This window comes from Homo sapiens, chromosome 14, assembly GCF_000001405.40.
Source record: "Homo sapiens chromosome 14, GRCh38.p14 Primary Assembly".
In the NCBI taxonomy this organism is placed as follows: domain Eukaryota; kingdom Metazoa; phylum Chordata; class Mammalia; order Primates; family Hominidae; genus Homo; species Homo sapiens.
Window position 1 is genome coordinate 62,757,125 of NC_000014.9, and position 23,044 is coordinate 62,780,168.

A 23,044-nucleotide genomic window follows, 5' to 3' on the forward strand; every position below is an offset into this window, starting at 1 on the left:
ATGGGCAAAAGATCTGAGTAGACATTTCTCAAAAGAAGACACACAAATGGCAAATAGGTGTATTAAAAGCTGATCAACCAGAGAAATGCAATGCTACAATGCAAAGCTACAATGCAATATCCTATCACCCCATTTAAAATGGCTTTTATCCAAAACACAGGCAATAACAAACACTGGTGAGGGTGTGGAGAGAAGGGAACCCTTGTATACTGTTGGTCGGAATGTAAATTAGTACAGCACTATGGAGAACAGTTTGGAGGCTCCTCAAAAAACTAAAAATAGAACTACCATATGATCTAGCACCCCCACTGCTGGGTATATACCCAAAAGAAAAGAAATCAGTATATCGAAGAGATATCTGCACTCCCATGTTTGTTGCAGCACTGTTCACAATAGCCAAGTTTTGGAAGCAACCTAAGTGTCCATCAACAGCTGAATATAGATAAAGAAAATGTGGCATATACACACAATGTAGTACTATTCAGCCAAAAAAAAAAAAACCAAAAGAATGAGATCCAGACATTTGCAACAACATGGATAGAAGAGGAACTCATTATGTTACGTGAAATAAGCCAGTCATAGAAAGACAAGATGTTCTCACTTATTTGTGGGAGCTGAAAGTTAAAACAACTGAACTCATGGAGATAGAGAGTAGAATGATGTTACCAGAGGCTGGAATGGGTAGTGGGTGGATGGGAGGAAAAGTGAAGATGGTTAATGGTTACAAAAAAATAGTTACAGCCGAGGGTGGTGGCTCACATCTGTAATCCCAGCACTTCGGGAGGCTACGGTGGGTGGATCACCTGAGGTCAGGAGTTCGAGACCAGCCTGGCCAACATGGCAAAACCCCCTTTCTACTAAAAATACAAAATTAGCTGGGTGTGGTGGCATGCACCTGTAATCCCAGCTACTCAGGAGGCTGAGGCAGTAGAATTGCTTGAACCTGGGAGACAGAGGTTGCAGTAAGCCAAGATTGGGCCACTGCACTCCAGCTTGGTGACAGAGCGAGACTCCATCTCAAAAAAAAAAAAAAAAAGTTACAAATAGTTAATATGACCTAGTATTTGATGGCACAACAGGGTGACTATAGTCAGTAGTAATTTAATTGTACATTTTAAAATATCTAAAAGTATGATTGGATTGCTTATAATATAAAGGATAAATGCTTGAGGAGATAGATACCCCACTTACCCTGATGTGATTATTATACATTGTATGCCTGTACCAAAATATCCCAGAAACCCCATAATACATATACCTACTATATACCCACTGAAGTTAAAAATAAAATTCTTTTAAAAAAAGAACCATCCAAAATTACCCCGGTGATTTGTAGAATTTTAAAAAATAAATCAAATTCCTCTTTTCCCTCTTTTCTGCTACTCTTCTCTCAGTACTTACTTCCCATGGGTATCAATTTCTACCACCAGAAAGGGAAGCAGCACACATTGCTTTAAATTAAGAACTCTGTAATATCATTATGCATTTAATCAGAAAAAGTCACTGAAGTGCTGGCGTAGAAAGAGCAGCTGGATATATGGGGTAATAGATGTCTCTTTAAGAAGGTAACTGTCAGTGCATGGGGATATGTCATCTGTTCAGCACAACATGACCCTACAAAGCAACATACAGTAAATACCAACCAAATGTTACAGCAATTGGTTGTAGGTTAGTATGGAAAAAGGAGAGTCATGTGGAGCTGGAACACATGAGGAGGATAACAGAGGGTGTAGGGTGGAAGACACTGCTTGAGGAGGGAGCTAGACATAGGATAAGATGTTCAGTTTATTTTATATGCTAGCAATCCAAGGGACACAGATGTTTTTCTTTATAATAAATGCTTTTCCCAAGTTCTCTTCCATTTGTTTAAATCTTGATTTTATTGTCCTGTATTTCAAAGACATGATCTCAAATTTTTAGTTCTGAGAACAAAAGTCTTTATAACTCAATAGAGGAATACCTTTGCTCTTGATCCTCATTTAAAACAATGACTTTTGTTACTATATGGATGGCTATGTTTTGTCTTTATTATAGTCCTGGTCACTTGTATTAGTTTGACTTATTTTGGTAAGATATTAAATCTATCTCTGGTCTTCTTTCATCAAAATTAGTCAGCTGTTTTTGACAAGCTGAAGCACACCTGAGGATTGAATAGTCCCACTGTCTGAAATCCAGACTAAAGTAGCAGTTTTCTAAATTAGGCATATTTTTTCTGAAGAGCCTTTAAGAAAATGAGAGAATGCTTAGATAATTTGAAATCCTGTGGCATCAATTATGAATTTATTTCTGGGGCATGGCTATTTGATTATGGAAAATACTGAGGTGCCTGTGCTTACAGAAGGATATTGGCACATTTGTTTTATAACATTTGCTCAAAAGCTGAAAATTCAAATCCTTTATATTCCATTTGATATCATAAAGCTGGTTTACCCTCCAGGCGTAGGGTATATTTTTTAATAATTACATTTGTTTAAGTCTTTTCTGCTGACAAACTTGTCCTGATTGAATTTTTGAATTTTTACAGTCCTTTCTTTCTCTCTCTCTTTCAATATTATCTGATCATCACCACTGTTACCAACCTCCATAAAATTGCTGGTTCAAAATTTAAAAGAGCCCTTTAAGGGAGCAAGCTGAGTAGAATGACTCAGGAACCCAACAACAGAGATTTTTCAGCTTTGCAAAATTACCAAATCCAAATCTACTTTCATAGTTTTTTCACCAGAGCAAACATCCATTTTGTGACTTTTTTTACAAACACTTTGAAGAAGCCAGCTTCACCTGAACGGCGGGGATAGGCCCATGTCAGGCACTTTTCTTTTCTCCCCACCTGCATCCCCACTCCCAACAGCCTACAGGGAGTCTTCCCAGAGTGTGATTTCAATAACAAGCCACTTGGTGACTCTCAGGTACAAACATGTTGCTATTTAAAAGCTGCCAGTCAGTCTCATTTTGTGGAGTTGCAAATCCAGGAGGCTGGATCTGATTTCTCCTGCTCACCTTTGCTGGCACAGGAGACTCTCTGCTGTGTACTATCACACTCTACAATGGCCAACTAGGTCATTTGACATCCTAGTTTCTGAATTCTGAGCACTAGGAAACACTCTTTTTTCACACGAGAATGAGTACATAACTTCCTATCATGGGAAACTAACTTTCAAAGGACCCGTGTTACATATTACCCATGTAATGCTCTAAGTTATAATACAGTCCATAATCATACCTAACACGGTCACCGAGGTACCAGTTAAAAAAGGAAGCAAATTCCTGATCAGGGTCCAGTTCTCTGTATTACCTCTGTGTGCTATCATTAGGGGAAATCGGCCTCTTCTTATGTGCAGAATTAGCAATTTTAGCTTTTACTTGCAGCTTCCGTTCCAGATTGCGAGTTTCCTAAAGGACTGTGTCTCTGAACTTCTACAGATGACATTACTCTCTAGAGGACAAAAGTGTGAACACAGAACATACCCGAGTGAAATCAAATGTCAACTTCTAAAAGTGTTGGATGAATCAAGTACAACCTGATTCAGAGAGAAGAGACAGAAAATGAATGACTTTTTCCAAGAGAAATTACTATAGCCTTGCTGGGTCATCTGAGTGTCTCTGGCTACTCAGTAGAATTGCTTCATTTGATTCCTTTAGAAAAAGATCACCTGACTGGAAGGCAAAATCTGTGAAATGCACCTCCCAGCTGGGGAATAAAAAAGACATTGCAGCAAGGCAGATGTTATTTTGGTGAGAACAGTTAAGTATTAAGAATTCAGTCTAACCACAGAGTAGCTATTTTCTCATTTGCAAAATGTATATAATGCTTTAAAGTCCTTTCTATCATATAGACAGTCATATGTATTATTACAACATTTATTTTATTTTTTTCACAGCCTGAATTCACCATAAACACCTTGAAATCCCTCCTTTGAATAACCAAATGCTCCTCAAAAGATTACGGTCGGCCAGGCAGGGTGGCTCACCCCTGTAATCCCAGCCCTTTGGGAGGCCAAGGCCGGCAGATCACCTGAGGTCAGGAGTTCAAGACCAGCCTGGCCAATGTGGAGAAACCCCGTCTCTACTAAAAATACAAAAATTAGCTGGGTGTGGTGGCGGGCGCTTGTAATCCCAGCTACTCTGGAGGCTGAGGCAGGAGAATCACTTGAACCTGGGAGGCGGAGGTTGCAATGAGCCAAGATCACGCCACTGCACTTCAACCTGGGTGACAGAATGAGACTCACTCTCTCAAAAAAAAAAAAAAAAGGATTATGGTCCATTGTAATGTGCTACAAAGCTACAGATCAGAATCAGCATGGAAGCTTTTCAAATACATGTCTGTTGAGCTTCTATATTTTTTCAGTCACCTCAGAAAACAGAAAAAGCTGAGACAATAGATTCAATTCAAAAAGTGAAGGGAAGAAATCCCTAAAATGACAAACTGTATGATCAAATTTAGATGTTGCCTTGGGGGTTGGGGAGGGAAGAACTCTCAAAAGAACTCTGGCTAAAAATACATTGTAATACAAGTCTATAAAAAATTCAAACTTAATATCGCACATCATTATATTATATATTCAACTGCAGAGAAAAATTATTTACTTTTATTCTAGAAGACAGAAGAAAAAACGAGCCATAAAATGTGGTATAGGAAGAGCCAAAATGGTAGACTAGATGCAGCCAAGAAAAGCATCTCTCACCAACATACTAGAGCATCAAGAAGACTGGCACACTGTGAGGGGACCTTTCGAAGGATGGCATTGAGAATGGATGGAGGGAGGATGCAGACCCTGGGGTGAAGGGAGAGCAAGCTGGAAATCTTGCATGGGACTGCCAAGCACCAGTACTCATTCTTGGCCCCCAGCAGCTCCTGGGGAAGAGGTGAGTTAAACAGGTGTGGAGTGGACCATTCTTGCCATGGACCTCCAGAATCCTAGCTTCAGAAGACTGCACAACCCATGGATATTCAGCTGACAGAGATTGCTGCTTGGAGAGGTGGCAGGGACAGAACACTAGCCTGAGCAGAGCCCAGAGAGTTTGGCTTGGGAAAGTCAGAGAATGGCTGGGGACACCCGTTCCCCAAGGCTCTCCATACTCTTCTTGGTGGCTTTGGTCTTTGCTGACTGTCACACCTGGACAGAGCAAGTCTGTCTTGCCCATGGAACAAGGGCAGTCTGATCTGAGTGAACCCTGTCTTCTAGCCTCCCGTGTGGTCCCTGCAAGCCCATGCCCACTTGCAGCACAGCCTTGAATGCCCAGATGGGCCATTTCCCAGCAACTGCTGCCAGAGCTCCTTCACCAGTAGACCCTGCTTAACCAATGGAGAGTTTCAGCAGACAAGCCCTCACCAACAGGCACCCAGCAGCAGCCTCTCCACACAGCTTTGCCAATGTACACTCCACCACAACGTCACCCCACCACTTTGTTGGTGCATGCATGTGCAAACCTCACCACCATGCTATCAATGGCATGCATATGCACAAACCTTCCCATCGTCACCCCACCCACAGTATGCTGTCTTCAAGAGACCCATTTCACATGCAATGACATCCACAGGCTCAAAGTAAAGGGATGGAGAAAAATCTAACAAGCAAATGGAAAACAAACAAACAAACAAACACAGAGGTGGCTATTCTAATTTCAAAAAAAAAAACAGACTTTAAATCAAAAATAATGAAAAAGAAAAAGAAGGGCATTACATAATTATAAAAGCTTCAAATCAACAAGAAGACATAACTATCCTAAATATACACATACCCAACACTAAAGCACTCAAATTCATAGAACAAGTTCTTACAGCAGTGCAAAGAGACTTAGATAACCACCCTATAATAATGGGAGACTTCAACACCCCACTGATGGTATTAGACAGATAATTGAGGTGGAAAACTAACACAGATATTTAGGACCTAAATTCAACACTTGATCCAATGGACCTAAAAGGCATCTGCAGAACACTCTACCCAACAACAATAGAATATACAATTCTCCTCATCTGCACATAACACATACTCTAAAACTGACCACACACTTGGCCATGAAACAATTCTCAACAAATTCAAAAAAACTGAAAACATATCAACCACACTTCCAGACCACAGCACAATAAAAATAGAAATTAATACTAAGATGCTTTCTAAAAATCATACAATTACATGGAAATTAAACAACCTGCTCCTGAATAACTTCTGGGTAAACAATGAAATTAAGGCAAAAATCAAGAAATTCTTTGAAAGTAACAAAAAAAAAGAGACAATATACCCGAATCTCACGCCTAAGGCAGTGTTAAAAGAAAAGACCATAGTGCTAGATGCCCACATCAGAAGGTAGAAAGATCTCAAATTAACAATGTAATATCACACCTAGAGGAACTAGAAAAACAAGAACAAACCAACTGCAAATCTAGCAGAAGAAAAGAAATAACCAAAATCAGAGCTGAACTGAACAAAATTGAAACGTGAAAAAGCATGAAAGATCAACAAACCAAAAGTTTTTCCTTTGAAAGAATAAATAAAACTAACAGATCTCTAGCTATCCTAACAAAAAAAAGTGAGGGGAAGCTCCAAATAAACACATCAGAAATAACAAAGGAGACATTACCATTGACCCCACAGTAATATAAAAAACCCTCATAGGCTATTACAAACACTTTCATGCATACAAACTAGAAAATTTAGAAGAAATTGATAAATTCCTAGAAACATGCAACCTCCCAAAATTAAACCAGGAATAAATTGAAACACTGAACAGACCAATAACAAGTTTCAAAATTGAATAAGTAATAAAAAGCCCACCAACCAGAACCAGCACTGGACAAGACAGATTCATACCCAAATTCTACCAGACATATAAAGAAAAGCTGGTACCAATACTATTCCAAAAAAATGAGGGGGAGGAACTCCTCCCTAACTCATTCTATGAGGCTAGCATCATTCTGATACCAAAACCTGGCAGAAACAGTACAAATAATGAAAACTGCAGGCCAACATTCCTGATGAACAGAGATGCAATAATCCTCAACAAAATACTAGCAAACCAAAACCAGCAGCACATCAAAAAGCTAATCCATCACAATCAAGCCTTCATTCCTGGGATGCAAGACTGGTTAAACACATGCAAATCAATAAATGTGATTCATTACATAAGCAGAACTAAAAATAAAAACTACATGACCATCTCAATAGATACAGAAAAGGCTTTTGGTAAAATTAAACATATTTTCATGTTAAAAACCCTCAACAAACTAGACATTAAAGGAAAATACCCCAAAATAATAAGAGCCACTTATGACAAACCCACAGCCAAAGTCATACTGACTAGGCAAAATGGGGAAGCATTTGGCTTGAGAACCAGAACAAGACAAGGATGCCTACTCTCACCACTCCTATTCACCACAGCACTGGAAGTGCTAGCCAGGGCAATCAGGCAAGAGAAAGAAGTAAAAGGCATCCAAACAGGGAGAGGAAGTCAAACTATCTCTTCCTAGATTATATGATTTTATACTTAGAAACCGTACAGTATCTGCCCAAAGTCTCCTAAAACTGATCAACCACTTCAGCAAAGTTTTGGGATACAGAATCGATATAAAAAAATCAGTAGCATTTCTATATACCAACAATGTCCAACCTGACAGCCAAATCAAGAATGCAATCCCACTGACAATAGGCACACACACAAAAATAAAGTACCCAAAAACACAGCTAACCAGGGAGGTGAAAGACCTCAACAGCAAGTATTACAAAACACTGTTGAAAGAAATCAGAAATGATACAAACAAATGGAAAAACATTCTACACTCACGGATAGGAAAAATCAATATTGTTAAAATAACTATAATGTCCAATGGTATTTATAGATTCAACGCTATTTCCATCAAACTTCCAATGATATTTTTCACAGAATTAGAAAAAACTATTCTAAAATTTATATGGAACCAAAAAAAGAGGCTAAATAGCCAAAATAATTCTAAGCAAAAAGAACAAGGCTGGAGGAATCGCACTACCTGACTTCAAACTATACTACAAGGCTACAGTAATCAAAGCAGCATTGTACTGGTACAAAAATGGACACATAGACCAATGGAACAAGTTAGATAACCCAGTTATAAATCCACACACCTACAACCATCTGAACTTTGAGAAAGCTGACAAAAACAAGCAATAGGAAAAGGACTCCCTATTCCATAAATAGTGCTAAGATAACTCGCTAGCCATATGCAGAAGACTAAAACTTGACCCTCGCCTTTTATCATGTGCAAAAATCAACTCAGGCAGATTAAAGAATGAAATGTAAACCCTAAAACTATAAATCCCTAGATGAAAACTTAGGAAACACCATTCTGGACATAGGTCCTGGCAAAGATTTCATGATGAAGACTCTGAAAGCAATTGCAATAAAAACAAAAATTGACAAATGGGACCTAATTAAACTAAAGAGTCTCAGCACAACAAGAAACTATCAACAGAGTAAACAGACAACGTACATAATGAGAGAAAAGTTTTAAAACCTGTGAACCTGATGAAAGACTAATATCCAGAATCTAAAAGGAACTTACACAAATTAACAAGCAAAAAACAAACAACCCCATTAAAAAGTGGGCAAAGAAAATTTAAGACCTCAAACTATGAAAATACTACAAGAAAATACTGAGTAAAATCTCCAGGGCATTGGTCTGGGCAAAAATTTCTTGAGCAATACCCCACAAGCACAGACAACAAAAGCAAAAATGAACAAACGGGATCACATCAAGTCAAAAAGCTTCTGCACAGCAAAGGATACAATCGACAAAGTGAAGAGATAACTCACAGAATGGGAGAAAATATTTGCAAACTACCCATCTGTCATGGAATTAATAACCAGAATATATAAGGAGCTCAAACAACTCTATAGGAAATATCTAATAATCCAATCAAAAATGGGCAAAAGATTTGAAAAGACATTTTTCAAAATAAGACAGACGAATGGAAATCAGGCATATGAAAATGTGCTCAACATCACTTTGAGCAAATAAAAACTATAATGAGTTATCACCTCAGTTAAAATGGCTTATATCCAAAAGACAAGCAATAGCAAATGCTGACAAGGATGTGGAAAAACGGGACATCTTGTGCACTGTGGGTGAGAATGTAAATTAGTACAACCACTATGTATAACAAATTTGTAGGTTCCTCAAAAAACTAAAAACAGAGCTACCATATCATCCAGCAATCCCACTGCTGGGTATATACCCAAAAGGAAGGAAATCAGTATATCAAAGAGATGTTTGCACTCCTATGTTTTTTGCAGCACTGTTTACAATAGCTAAGAATTGGAAGCACCCTAAGCGTTCATCAGTAGATGAATGCATAAAGAAAACGTGGTATGTATGCACACCTGAGAACTATTCATCCATGATAAAGAATGAGATCCTGTCATTTGCAAAACCATGGTTGGAATTGGAGATCATTATGTTAAATGAAGCAAGCCAGGCACAGAAAGACAAACTTCACATATTCTCACTTATTTGTGGGGTCTAAAAAAATCAAAATAATTGAACTCATAATTATAGGGAGTAGAAGGATGGTGAACAGAAACTGGGATGGGTGGTGGGGCCTGGGTCGGGGTACTTGGGGATGGTTAATGGGTACAAAAAAGTAGAAAGAAATAAGACCTAGTATTTGATAGCACAAGGTGACTATAGTCAATAATAACTTAATTGTCCACTTTAAAATAACTAAAAGAGTGTAACTGGATTGTTTGCAACACAAAGGATGAATACTTGAGGGGATGGATACCCCATTCTCCATGATATGATTATTTCACATTGCATGCCTATATCAAAACATCTCATGTACCCCATAAATACATACATCTACTATGTACCCACAAAAAATTAAAAACATAAAAATATTTTTTAAATGAGCAAAGGACATGAACAGATACTTTTCAAAAGAAGACATACATGCAGCCAACAAGCATATGGAAAAATTCTCAACATCAATAGTCATTAGAGAAATGCACATCAAAACTACAATGAGATACCATCTCACACCAGTTGGAATGGCTATTCTTAAAAAGTCAAAAAACAACAGATTCTGTTGAGGATGCAGAGAAAAGGGAGCACATAGATGTTGCTGGTGGGAATTTAAATTAGTTCACCTACTGTGGAAAGCAGCTTGGAGATCTGTCAAAAAACTTAAAACAGAACTACCATTTGACCCAGCAATCCCATTACTAACTATATATCCAAAGGAATAGAAATCATTCTACCATAAAGACACACACATGCATATTTTCACTGCAACACTACTCACAATAGTAAAGACATGAAATCAACCTAAATGCTTATCAATGGTAGACTAGATAAGGAAAATGGGGTATATATACACACTGGAATACTACACAGCCATAAAAAGAACAAAATCATGTTCTTTGCAGTAATGCAGATACAGCAGGAGGCTATTGCCCTAAGTGAATTAACGCAGAAACAGAAAATCAAATACTGTATGTTTTCACTTATAAGTAGGAACTAAACACTGAGTACACGCGGACAATAAGAAGGGAACAATAGACACCAGAACCTACTGGAGGGTGGAGGATGAGGTTTGTAAAACTAGCTGTCATTTACTATGCTTATTACCTGGGTGACAAAATAACCTGTATACCAAAGCCCCATTGCATGCAATTTTCCCATGTAGCAAACCTGTACATGTACCCCCGAACCTAAAATAAAAGTCAATAAGATAAACAAAATGTGATATGTATACACACAATGGAATACCATTCAGCCATTATAAACAATAAAATAATGTCTTTTGCTGCAACATAGATGGAACTGGAGGCCATTATCTTAAGTGAAACAACGCAGAAACAGAAAGTCAAATACCACAAGTTCTCACTTATAACTCGTAGCTAAGTAATGTGTGTACATGAACCTAGAGTGTGGCATGATAGACATTAGAGACTTGGGAGGGTGCCAGGGTGGGAGAGGGGTGAGGGATGAGAAATTACTTAACGATCACAATGTATATTACTCAGGTCATGGTTACACTAAAAACCCAGACTTTACCACTAAGCCATATACTCATATAACAAAACTGCACTCGAACCCCTTAAATTTATACAAATTATAAAAAAAATTAAAAACAAAGAAAAAGTAAAACAAGGCCTAAGTAGTTAGGATAAGAAAATTTGCATGTATCCTAAGTTTAAATCAATGCCAAAAGGCATTAAGGAAGAAAATAATACACACATTTAAGTCTTAACATTAATACAAACCCTTGTTTTCTAATTCAAAAGGAGTATTTTCCTTTAAATGAAAATGATGTGATAGAGCACATCATTTATTAATCATATCAAATATTAATGGCTGAGAATTCATAAGTAGTAGACATTTTAGAAACAAACAGTCTAGCGTCCAGCTAAGATGCCTCTAGAGATGCATTATGGTGAGGCAGGACTCAGACCTAAAATAAAAACAAATGTCTCAAATAGATTGTTGAATAGACATTTGCAAGAAAAATAATTTGTAAAATGTCTATCTTTTTACATTATGTTGGTTAAATACTTTTCTATCTATTAAAGGCTTATTTATTTTCTTCTTGTTTACTATTAAAACATGTATTTTCTTGCAATAAAAATAAACTCTGGTTTTAAAAAGAAGAGCTGGCAAAGAACAGACAGTATTACCTATGGTTCAAAATGTTGGTAAATTACTGAATCCAGCCCCAACTTTGAAACTTGTGAAACTGTCCTTGAATAACTGCTTTGGAGGCATATTCAGGAGCAAGGTATCTGTGAACCTCTGTCCTGGTGACTAAATGTGGAAAAGTTTTTATTCCGTCTGGAAGCAGACCAACAGAGAGCCCTAAATAGAAGCAGCTTAAGGGCTTAAAAGACTCCATAATTAGGCCTCTGCTTCATCTAAATGCACATGACAAACTTCAGGAATTGTTGAAGGTCTGCCTCTTTCTACCCCCATCAGTGGAATTGGAGCCAGCTTGGAGTTGAAAAACTGAGGCTGCAGGCTCAGAACAATTATCACCTGTATGGCCATGAGCGAAGCACCTTACCTCCCTTAACTCACTTGTCTTACAGTGTTGATTTCAAGCTCAAACGCCATCACGCCTGTGGCGTGTAAACTGTGAAGTGATGAGTAGCATCACTTTGGAAGTGAAATTTCTACAAACCATAACATGTAAGCAGAGCTACTGCCAGCAGGGCCAGTAGGTTGGAGTGAATTTGCAGTCCTGATGATCAATTGAGGTAATGAGAGTTATATCTACACTCTGCTCAGATTCAAATGTGGCATGCAGGGTTTTCAGAGCAATCGTTTTCTCTTCAAAGTCCTTCACAATGGGAATAAGGCACTACTCTGACAATCACAGCCACTGGCATCGGGTGATCTCAATTCACTCCACAGTGATATCAAAATTGCTGTACTACTCTGAATGCACTAGACAAGCTGGTGCTGCAGGACTGTGCAGAATTTGCAGGCACAAATGGTTAGAAACAGCAGCTGGGAGTTAACTCTAATCGTGATTTAACACCAATTAATAATGGTAATTTTCATAATCCTATTACATAGGGCTTATTGCCAAAGTTATCAAAGATATTGTGTGTTTTTAGATAACAGTGATTATTCTGGTCAGTGATGATAAAAACTGCTGGGCAGCGTGACAGATTCACGTTTCATTCATTCATTTAATTATATAGCAGACTCTATTCTGGCCATTGACAATAAAGTATTACAGAAAATACCTACTGTATGGAGCTCATTGTTTAGTTGAAAAATAGAAATGTAAATAAGAAACCAAAGTACCATAATCAGTGTTATGAGAGAAGTAAACATAGATACTACGTACTATTTGAGGGTTTTGTGGAAACTATATTATCTTTTGTTGCAAGTGTGGACAATGTTTTAGTAATGTCTTTTCCACAGCATCAAGAATTGATGGATTCGTGGAACAAACGGGCTCTACTATTTTGTTTAGCTAATATACCATTGTGGGGAGGGTGGGTGAAGAAAAGAAAAAAAAGTAGTTGGAACACCCATTGTCACTCCTAGACCATTTCTTCGAAGATGCTCGTATTGCTACTGAAATAGATGCAATCTGCGACACATGTACACCAAGCAAATACTTTATGCCTGTTTGATATCCAATTCCAGTATGTTTTTCATTTACAAAAGATCATTGCTACTGAGAAGCTTCATTGATCACAGAAAAAAATGACATTTTGTGCTGCTGGATTCACCATAATATGAACGTTTTCTGGAAAGAAAAGCATTATTGAGTTCTGAGCCTGTGCTAATGCCAGAGTGAACCCAAACCACTATTTCTTACCACTGGAACATCAAAATACAGGATTGCTACTACGCTTCTCCATAACATTGCCAGCTGGCTTCAGTTGATCTCTACTCAAGAACAGTGCCATCTGTAGAAAAGGACAGTGGCTTTTTAGGGTTAAATGGAATCTACATGTACCTCTATGTTCTGTTTTTCCATTTTACAATTCGGATTGATCATGCCTGGGGACTTTTTTCTAAGTTTAAATAGCAATCCTTCTTAAATCACTGTAGGGCAGCAAGAAAACCTTGCTGGTATTGATAATTATACATTGCCCAGAAGTTATAAAAATCAGCACTGAATGTTGTTGCTGCTGCTGCTGCTGCACATCCATCCCCAGTAATGTTACACTCCAGCTGTAAGTTTTGATTTTAACATATTTTCAAAGTCATTTCTTCATATTTAACTTAAAATATAAAACTTGGTTGTTACAGACTGAATGTTTATGTCTCCCACCCGCAAATTCATATGGGGAAGCCTTAACCTCTAGTATGGCTGTATTTGGAGACAAGGCTTCTGAGAAAGTAATCAAGGTTACGTGAGGTCATAATGATGAGGCTCTGATCCAATAGGACTTGTGTCTTTATAACAAGAGACTCGAGAGCTCTCTCACTCTCTCACACACAGGCACTGCAGGGATGCCATGTGAGCACACAGTGAGAAGGTGGCCAGTGGCAACCCAAGGAGAGAAACGTCCCCAGACAACATCCCTACTGCACCTTGATTTTGGACTTCTAACCTCCAGAACTGTGAGAAAATAAATTTCCGTTGTTGAAACTACTCAGTCTATGGTATTTTGTGATAGTAAGCCAAGCAGACTAATACAAGGGTTAAAGAAATATTGGCAAGGGGTACCAGACTAACCTGTGCATTGAACTAAGTGGTATAGAGATGTTTAATAAAAATGAGTCTAGGCCAGGCGCGGTGGCTCACACCTGTAATCCCAGCACTTTGGGAGGCCGAGGTGGGCAGATCACAAGGTCAGGAGATCAAGACTATCCTGGCTAACATGGTGAAACCCCGTCTCTATTACAAAACAAAAAATTAGCCGGGCATGGTGGCAGGCGCCTGTAGTCCCAGCTACTCGGGAGGCTGAGGCAGGAGAATGGCGTGAACCCGGGAGGCAGAGCTTGCAGTGAGCCGAGATCGTGCCACTGCACTCCAGCCTGGGTGACAGAGCGAGACTCTGCCTCAAAAACAAACAAAAAGACTCTAAACTAGAAACTATGGAGCTAAAGGAAGATAAGCCTCTGAAGCCACAATGGAAGCAATTCTTTGAGACCACTACTAAAGGATGTCAGTTTGACATCATTTTTATCAACATCCAATGGGCCCCACTCCATGACAATAGTAAAGGTATTAGAACTCTAGAGCCATTTGCTTAGAAACTTTAATTACACCAGTGACAAAATAAGCAGAGTCATGGAGTGAAAAGACAACACTTCTCTGGCCATGATCACTCAATCTGGAACCACAAGAGGGTTTATACCCACCGATATAACATAGACATGGTATTTAAAAGGGAAACCCGCTTGATTATATAATTTTAGCCTGTATTAACATGGTTCAATCTTAGTTATTTTTTTCTTTTTCAAAATTCAGTTTACATTCTTCTTTTGCATTTTTGGAATTGGCTGCATAGTAATCTTCTGTTAGTTTTCAGCCCTAACAACAACAACAAAAAAAACACATTCTCTACCTGCTACCAAACAAGTCTCAGATTTTTCCAGTTCTATATGAAAATATTCAATTTTGTATTTTCTTTTTCTCCTTCCCTTCCTTTTTTTTTGATTAACTAATATTTTTAGTATACATAATTTAGTACACATTTGGTGGTAAGCTTGTCAATATTTTTTGTAACTTCTAATATAAAAGTATTAATATCTTTTTAAAAATAACTTAAGATACAAAAGTGAAAAAGTAGCAGGCGGGCCCTGTGGCTCATGCCTGTAATCCCAGTACTTCAAGAAGCTGAGATGGGCAGATCACCTGAGGTCGAGTTTGGGACCAGCCTGGCCAACATGGTGAAACCCTGTCTCTACTAAAAATACAAAAATTAGCCAGGCGTGGTGTCGTGCACCTGTAATCCCAGCTACTCAGGAGGCTGAGGCAGGAGAATTGCTTGAACCTGGGAGGTGGAGGTTGCAGTGAGCCAAGATCGTGCCACTGCACTCCAGCCTGGGACACAGAGTGAGACTTTGTCTGAAAAAAAAAAAAAAAAAAAAAAGTAGCAGTTTTTTTAATGTGAGAATTTTTATCTTTCTATGTATTTATACTAACCAGTACAGCAGTATTGACATGTTAACAGAGAGTATATCAGAATGCAGTATTATCAGCAAGACAATATTACTAAATTCAGTAACACTTCTTAAACAATACTCATATGAAAGTTAAATGCTTTCACTAAAATGAGATATTTTACAATGCAGGTGACAGATATGCTGTGGCCACACTAGACGTATTGGTTCATGCCCAGATTGAGAGTCCTGTCCACTGACTCTGAACACTGCTTATTGCTTGTTTTGTTTTGGCTTCACTATTAGTTTTATCCTGAACCACAGTATGAAAAACTAAAATCAATCTATGAATCACATGCAAATTGATGCCACATATTATCCTTCCCTATTAAAAATGAACACAATCAAGTATTGGATTTTACTGACAATCTTCTTCGAAATGCTTTTATTCTAGGTTAAATAGTAGAAACACTGCCAGCATGAGCTTCCAAGGACTAGATTCCAGTCTCAGCTCTACCACTAACTAGCTAAGTGAACTTAGGCAATCACTTAATTTCTTAGGTCTGAATTTTTCTCATCTCTAAAGAAAATAAAATGAAATTGGTGATATACAAGACGCATCCTTGTTCTAGATTATTTCTCTATTTGAAATGAAATCCTAACTCCTGTGTCCTTGTCACCTCCTGGAATCCTTCCCTGTTTCCTCCCCTTGGACAAACTGAATTCATCTCCTTTATGCCGCCTGTGTACTGAGAATAACCCTCTCGTAGCACTTATCTGACTCATGATCTCTCACTAGACTGGAGCCTCCTGGAAAGCAGGCACCTGGTCTTTTATGTCCACAACCCCATGTTATGTGTTATGGGCTGGATGGATGCATGGCTATATGGTGAGCCAGCCAATACTTTCTGTGCCACACTTCAACAAAGTGTCTCATGAGAAGACGTATAGAAACAGCAAATAAAATTCCTCTCTTATCCTATTTAAATAGTCAATCTGGAGAAAAATATGTTCTTGCTATCTTGAAAGTGAAGAAAATATTCAGAAATAATTTAAAATCTCAGGCATGCTTATTGTAGCCAGCAGTATTCATGTAACATATATTTTAAGTTTCAAGGAAATGAAATTCGCTTGACTGCCTTATGGACAAATATAACACTTATTTTTAAATGGTTCATTCTCTTTTACTCATAAAACATACTGTCTGTAGGTTTCAGTATCTTTTATGGAAAAAAAGGTTACAATGAAATTACCAATATATCTGCTGATTTGAGGACCTTTGAGGATACAGATTTCCTACCAACCTTTATATATGGAGCACTGGTTACCCTCAAGTCCATACCAAGGTCAGACAATCCACTAGGCAGATTCACAGAATTCTGCATATCATCATATTCATGGTTATGACTATTGCAGCATAAGATACAAAGAAAATTTAGCAAAGGGAAAAGGGGCATGGGCAAAGTCTGGGGGAAGCCAGGCACAAACAAGAGTATGACAACACACGAGAAATGCTGTCAACCAGGGAAGTTCATGAAGGACTTGGTGCTTCTGGTTTTGTACTGGAGATGGTCACAAAGGCATCTTTTCCTGACATATGCCAAAATTCCACACTTCGGGAAGGAAAGTTGATATTCAGCATCAACCCACCTTGTTAGAACAGACAATTAAGGCACAGAGAGCTACTCATCAGTTAGTGGTGAGAGTCCCCCGAAATCAAGTTCACAAGAGCCAGCTTTATAAGCAAGTCTTTCAAAGGACAATAGTCATACCTGCCAGGTTAACTCTTTTTTACACAAATGGTAAAAATCATTGTGCAACAAATAGGTAAAATGGGAGGAACTGTAATATTAACTTTAAAAGTCTAATAAGAAGTTTTTAAAATGTAGGTGTCACCTGTGTTACCTTTTTATGTGTGTGTCAAAGAAGGTGTGTTGCTTACTTTCTTTGATGTATACCTAAGAGCTGGTCATCAATTTAATGAATACCATTTTGTCATTCCAGGAAATAGCATCTTGAATTGGTTAAATAAATACATACATAAAGTAAGCAAATGAGTCAACTTTCCTCTGCTTCTCTCTCATCCCTTTTCTGAATATGTTTAAACTTATTGGAAACTACGGAATTGTGTTCTTATTATTGAAAAAAAAACCCCAGCAGGTCCTTCTGCTCAATTCAGTTTAGCTTCTGACTCTCACACATGGGATCTTAATCTCCAGTAGTCTGGCAGAGCCTGTGGACCTCTCCTTAAAAGAATTGCTCTAAATGCACAAAATAAAATATGTAGGATTGCAAAGGAAACATATATTGAAATCCTATCAAAATATTTTCAAATAATTTACAGTAATCTATGTACTTCTGTCTAGCAGCAAGTCTAATAACTATCATAATTGTTAAATAGTAATGAGCATAAATGGCATTTCAAGATATCTTTGGCACATATGATATATGAAAATATCCATTAATATAATTGCTTTTGGTACTTCTAATAACACTGTAGTTGTCTAGCAACCTTTCCAATTAAAGGAAAAGCTAAATGTCAGTTAGAAAATAGATAAAATAAAATTTGTTTTCATCAAAATGTCCAGGCCCCAGGTAAAAATCTCAGGTTTCTAGCACCATGAGACCAGGAGTTCATTAACTGATTCCATTTAGATCATGAGCTGTTGAACCAATAGCAAGCAAACTTATTTTGTTTGACCACAGAATTTTAAAAACAAATCAAATCAATTACCAAACAAATGTGTTTTCCCATAAAAATGTGCTTCTGGCCTCTTGGAGAAAAAAAAATATGAGGACTAAGCAACACTAGCCCAGCATCCCCACAAGGCAATGTCCTACCAGAGTGAGTAACAGCTGTCTCGTTCACAGATGAAATGAACTCTCCATTTCCACAGTAACTATAAATCCTGCCTTACTCTTTCATGCTATCTGCCTGCTTTGTGTAGCTACTTCTTATTAATATTTATGGCATTTTCCATCTCATAACCCTCTGAATAGGCAGCAAGTAGAATAGATTTGCTTTCTAATAAAGGTGGGGCGATTCTATTCATATGCCCACTGTTGTCCCCATTTAACTTCTTCCAGTCCTCTTTTTTCAACAATTAACACACTTAAGGCCCCTGGGCAGTCACCTGATTGTAAGTAAAGTAATTGAAATACAATCTTCCTCATTTCTTTATGTATTATCTACAGCTTTGCTATTGACTAAGTTTTACCCCCTCAAAATCCATCTGTTGAAGCTCTTATCCCCAATGTGATGGTATTTGGAGATGGAGCCTTTGGAGGTAATTAGGTTTAGAAGAGGTAATAAAGTTGGGGCCAGCGCGGTGGCTCACACCTGTAATCCCAGCACTTTGGGAGGCTGAGGTGGGTAGATCACGAGGTCACGAGTTCAAGACCAGCCTGACCAACATGGTGAAACCCTGTCTCTACTGAAAATACAAAAATTAGCTGGGCGTGGTGGCATGCACCTGTAATTCCTGCTACTCTGTAGGCTAAGGCAGGAGAATCACTTGAACCCAGGAGGCGGAGGTTGCAGTGAGTCGAGATCGCACCACTGCACTCCAGCCTGGGTGACAGAGCAAGGTTCCATCTCAAAAAAAAAAAAGTTGGGGCCCTCATGAGTGACTTGGTGCCCTTATAAGACACCAATGAGCTAGCTGGCTTCCTTCCCACCTCCCATCTCTCTACCTCCCCTTCTTGTCTCTCTTATGTGGGAACACAGTGAGAAGCTGGATATTTGCAAGCCAGGAAAAGAACCCTCACCAGGGAACCAAACTGGCCAGTAATTTGATCATACACTTCCCAGCCTCCAGAACTGTGAGAAATAAATTCCTGCTGCTTAAGACACCCAATGTATCATATTTTGTTATGGCAGTCCAAGCTGACTAAGACAGCTGCTTTCATACTACAGTGGAAAAGTTGAGTAGTTGAGATTGGCCCACAAATCCAAAATTGTTTACTATCTGGTCCTTGACAGAAAAATTTTCCATTCCATGCCGTAGTTGTTTCATGGAATTCTAGTTATTCGTCAATTCGTAGAATTTGATGGAATTCTAGTTATAGCTCTAGAATTTTTACATAGAGGGGCTTAAGGATGGGTAGGAAGAGCTATATTCGCACAGTAAGCATCTTATTTTTCCTTAATGGAGATGAAGGCAAGCAGCTAAAGAAGGCTCACTTTCCTCCTTATTGCAGCCATGGAAAGCCACACACTATTCAAACCTCTCCACTGAGCCACTGGATACACATGTGTGGCCAGAACTGTACCATGCCATGGCTGACAACTTGGATTCAAAACCTGCTCCCTTACTTAGTAGGAACACACCCTTAACCAATGGCTATGATAGCTATGAGATATCAATAGCATACTAAAGACATAGTTTTGGTTATAGAATTCACAATGAATGTTCATTGCAATAATTTTTACAATAATAGCAATAAGAACAAAATGTTTTCATTAATAGATCAATTGGAATAAAGTGAATAAGTGAATGAGAAACTATAAATTGTTGACAGTGTTTCTGTGGAATATTATGGAAAAGAAAATGTCAGTGGCTTTGACAAGCTAAAACAACATGGTAGTCTAAAAAATACAGGTTTTAGAATCATAGAGATGAATTCAAATGCAGGCCCTGACTCCTAGGTTATTAGGGAACTAGCTGTTCCAGTCTTAGAAACTTAACGTCTTCATGGGTGAAATGGAGACTATACTGCTCTGTTTGTGGGTCGTTGACATTTAATAAGATATTATATGTAAACTATGTTGAAGTGCCTGGCTATATACAACATGTTCTCAGATGGTAGCTAGTATTACTACCCATTAGATAATATTTTCTCACCACTTATCTTTTTCATGAGTATATTGTTTCTCTGAAAATAAAGTGAAACTGAATGACACCCTTTTCCTACTATTTGCCAAGTTACTGAGACAATGCATCAAGAGCAGAGAGGCTAGAATTATAAAAATTGACACCAGTTATAACAGGAAACAGGTTGTGAGGGAAGAAAGCCGCTTGGTGTTACTCAGCAAATTGGCACCCATGGAGACAGGCACAGCGTTTCTGGGTCCTGTTGAAAAACCAACAACAGTTTTCTGTCTCTAGCTTGTCTTCTTATCAGAAGACTGAGTCCACACCAGTGTGCACTCAGCTGTCACAACCAATGAATGCATGTGTGTATGTGTATTTGTGTGTGTGTGTGTGTGTGTAAGAGAAAAAGTGGTGACAGATGTTCTACTGGTGATCTGTTTCCATTGTCCCTCCTTGGCCCCTTGCATTGCAAATGTGTCACTTGGTTGTTTGATATTAATCCCTCTGGGCCTGAGTATTCTCATGTGATTTGAAGGAAAAATAACTGCCCATTTTCTTTCACAGGAATATTATAAACATCAAGTCCTGAGGAATGTACGGATGTTGGATAGGAGTTTTCAGTAATCTTGCAGTATGGGGGAAGATTTTAAAATGCACATTTTAGATTGAAGGGAACTTAAAACTACAGTCTTCCCTCGGTATACGAGGGGGACTGGTTCCAGGATCCCCTCACACACCCAGATCCTTACATACCGAAGTCCTGCTGTCTGCCCTGTGGAACCCACATACAGGAAAAGTGGGCTCTTGGTATACACAAGTTTCAAATAACACAAATACTGTATTTTTCATCTGCATTTGGGCAAAAAAAATTGGCATGTAAGTGGACCCTCGTGGTTCAAACCTGTGTTATTCAAGGGCCAACCACACTACAAGAGTCAACTACCAAACAGGTTGCCTTGTTGAAGGGAAATTTGTCATTGCAGAAGGCAGAGCACAGACCAAAGGAGACATTCCTGCTTAATACTGAAAGGGACTCTGAGCTCCCTAACACATAAGTGAGAAACTTCCACATTTAGTTAATATTTAGCTTCCCTTTCCCACATTCATCATTGCCTTCACTTTCCACTATTTGTGTTTGACATAATATTCACATCTAACTATAGGTCTATTGAGCATACGTACTCTGTGCTTAAGTCTGTGTGTTCTCTACAGCTATTCATTCTTTCTCACAGATTCTGGATGCTCCATCTATTTGATAACAAACGTATGAACTGAAAATGATGTTCAAGTATAGATCAAATAAATGTGATACAGCCAGTACAAACACTACTCCTGCTAGTCTCATCCTTTCTTGGAACCCTAAGTAGGAATTACATTGATTTAATTATGTTCATTTCTATGTTGCTACAGTATAGACATTAATTTATCTCTTTGCTCAATTTCTTCCCTCCCTGTTAACTACAGAGAAGGTTTCATTTAAGCAGGTTATAGAAAGGAATGACTGTTATTTCAAAATACTTCACCACAGACAGGCGATCATTTTAGATAAAATCACTTAAGTGCAGTTATCCAAACATGTATTTCATTCTTGGCAATAAAAAAGCCTTACCCAATGCCCAATGACCTAGAAACCAGAACTAGGAGATTTCTTCATGCAAATTAAATTTGTGTCACACTCATTGGCTACAAAATGGCAGTGAAGGTTAAATGTGCAGCAGCAGTGTAAAATAAAGGATTCTTATCCATATTTGTAGGATGTGTCAATGTGGCTAATTAATTTTTGAGATAGCGTTCTTTGAAAGAGTAAACTTTGTGAATTGATTACGAAATGAGAAGTGCCTAAAGAGAGCTGAGAATGTAAAACAGGCACCCAGGTTGATTAACTTTACCAGCTTTAAAAAAATCCATATAAAAAGGTAAAAGACACTGGAGTTGATTTTATGGCAGTATTATAAACTCCAAGAACTAACTACATCATAATAGAGTTCACAGCTTGTTTCTCTTCAAGTCTGTTTTTCATTTTGTATCTTAAATGGTAAAGATTCAAATCTTTACTCATAGAAATAGGGTTTTTTTCCTTAAAAAGTAAACAAAATATAAATAAAGAGAAGGAAAATTATGCCACTTTACATTGATGGGAATTTAGTGCTGCAAAACAAAATATCTTCTCTACTCTTCAGCTAATAGAGCTGAATTAATTAATACTCTGGACACTAATAAGAAAAAGCAGACCCAGAGAACATACCCGTTTCCTCAGATTGCAAGTAAGAGTGAGATTCCTTGAGAAGGAGTTTGCAAAAGCTGTATAAAAGTCCAGGACTTTGAGCAAGGCTTCCCGCTTGATGATGTGTAGGTCACAGTACGTCAGTGCCCGGACGTTCGCACATGCATGGGCAAGGGTGGTTTCCTTCCAGAAGATGTCTCCAAATACATCACCCTTCCCTAGAAAACAGTATAAGATACATATTCAAGTATCTAACACTGTTCTTATTTAATCACTCTTGTTATTCAGTTTCATATACAGTATTGACCTTCTAGCATAATTTAGAGCTGAGGGTATAACCACATCTATAAACACATAACAATACACAATGCTTTCATATAATATGTAAAGTAACATCACCCTGAATTCAGTTATTGATGAAAATCTGGAGTGGCATGAATAAATGGATCCAACAGAGAAGCC

General features: G+C 38.2%; 1 protein-coding gene across 3 annotated transcripts in view; it reads right to left on the minus strand.

Moving 5' to 3' along the window:
* Positions 1-23,044, minus strand: part of KCNH5 (potassium voltage-gated channel subfamily H member 5) — a 345,995-nt gene that overhangs the window by 57,661 nt on the left and 265,290 nt on the right. The window contains exon 10 of one of the 3 annotated variants that reach the window (NM_139318.5): positions 22,604-22,800. The exons of 1 other annotated variant lie outside the window; for it this stretch is intronic. In NM_139318.5, coding sequence (NP_647479.2) covers positions 22,604-22,800 — 197 coding nt within the window. Of the gene's footprint in view, positions 1-22,603; positions 22,801-23,044 lie in introns of those variants that run through there. One more of the 3 variants, XM_047431275.1, reaches the window with a different exon arrangement.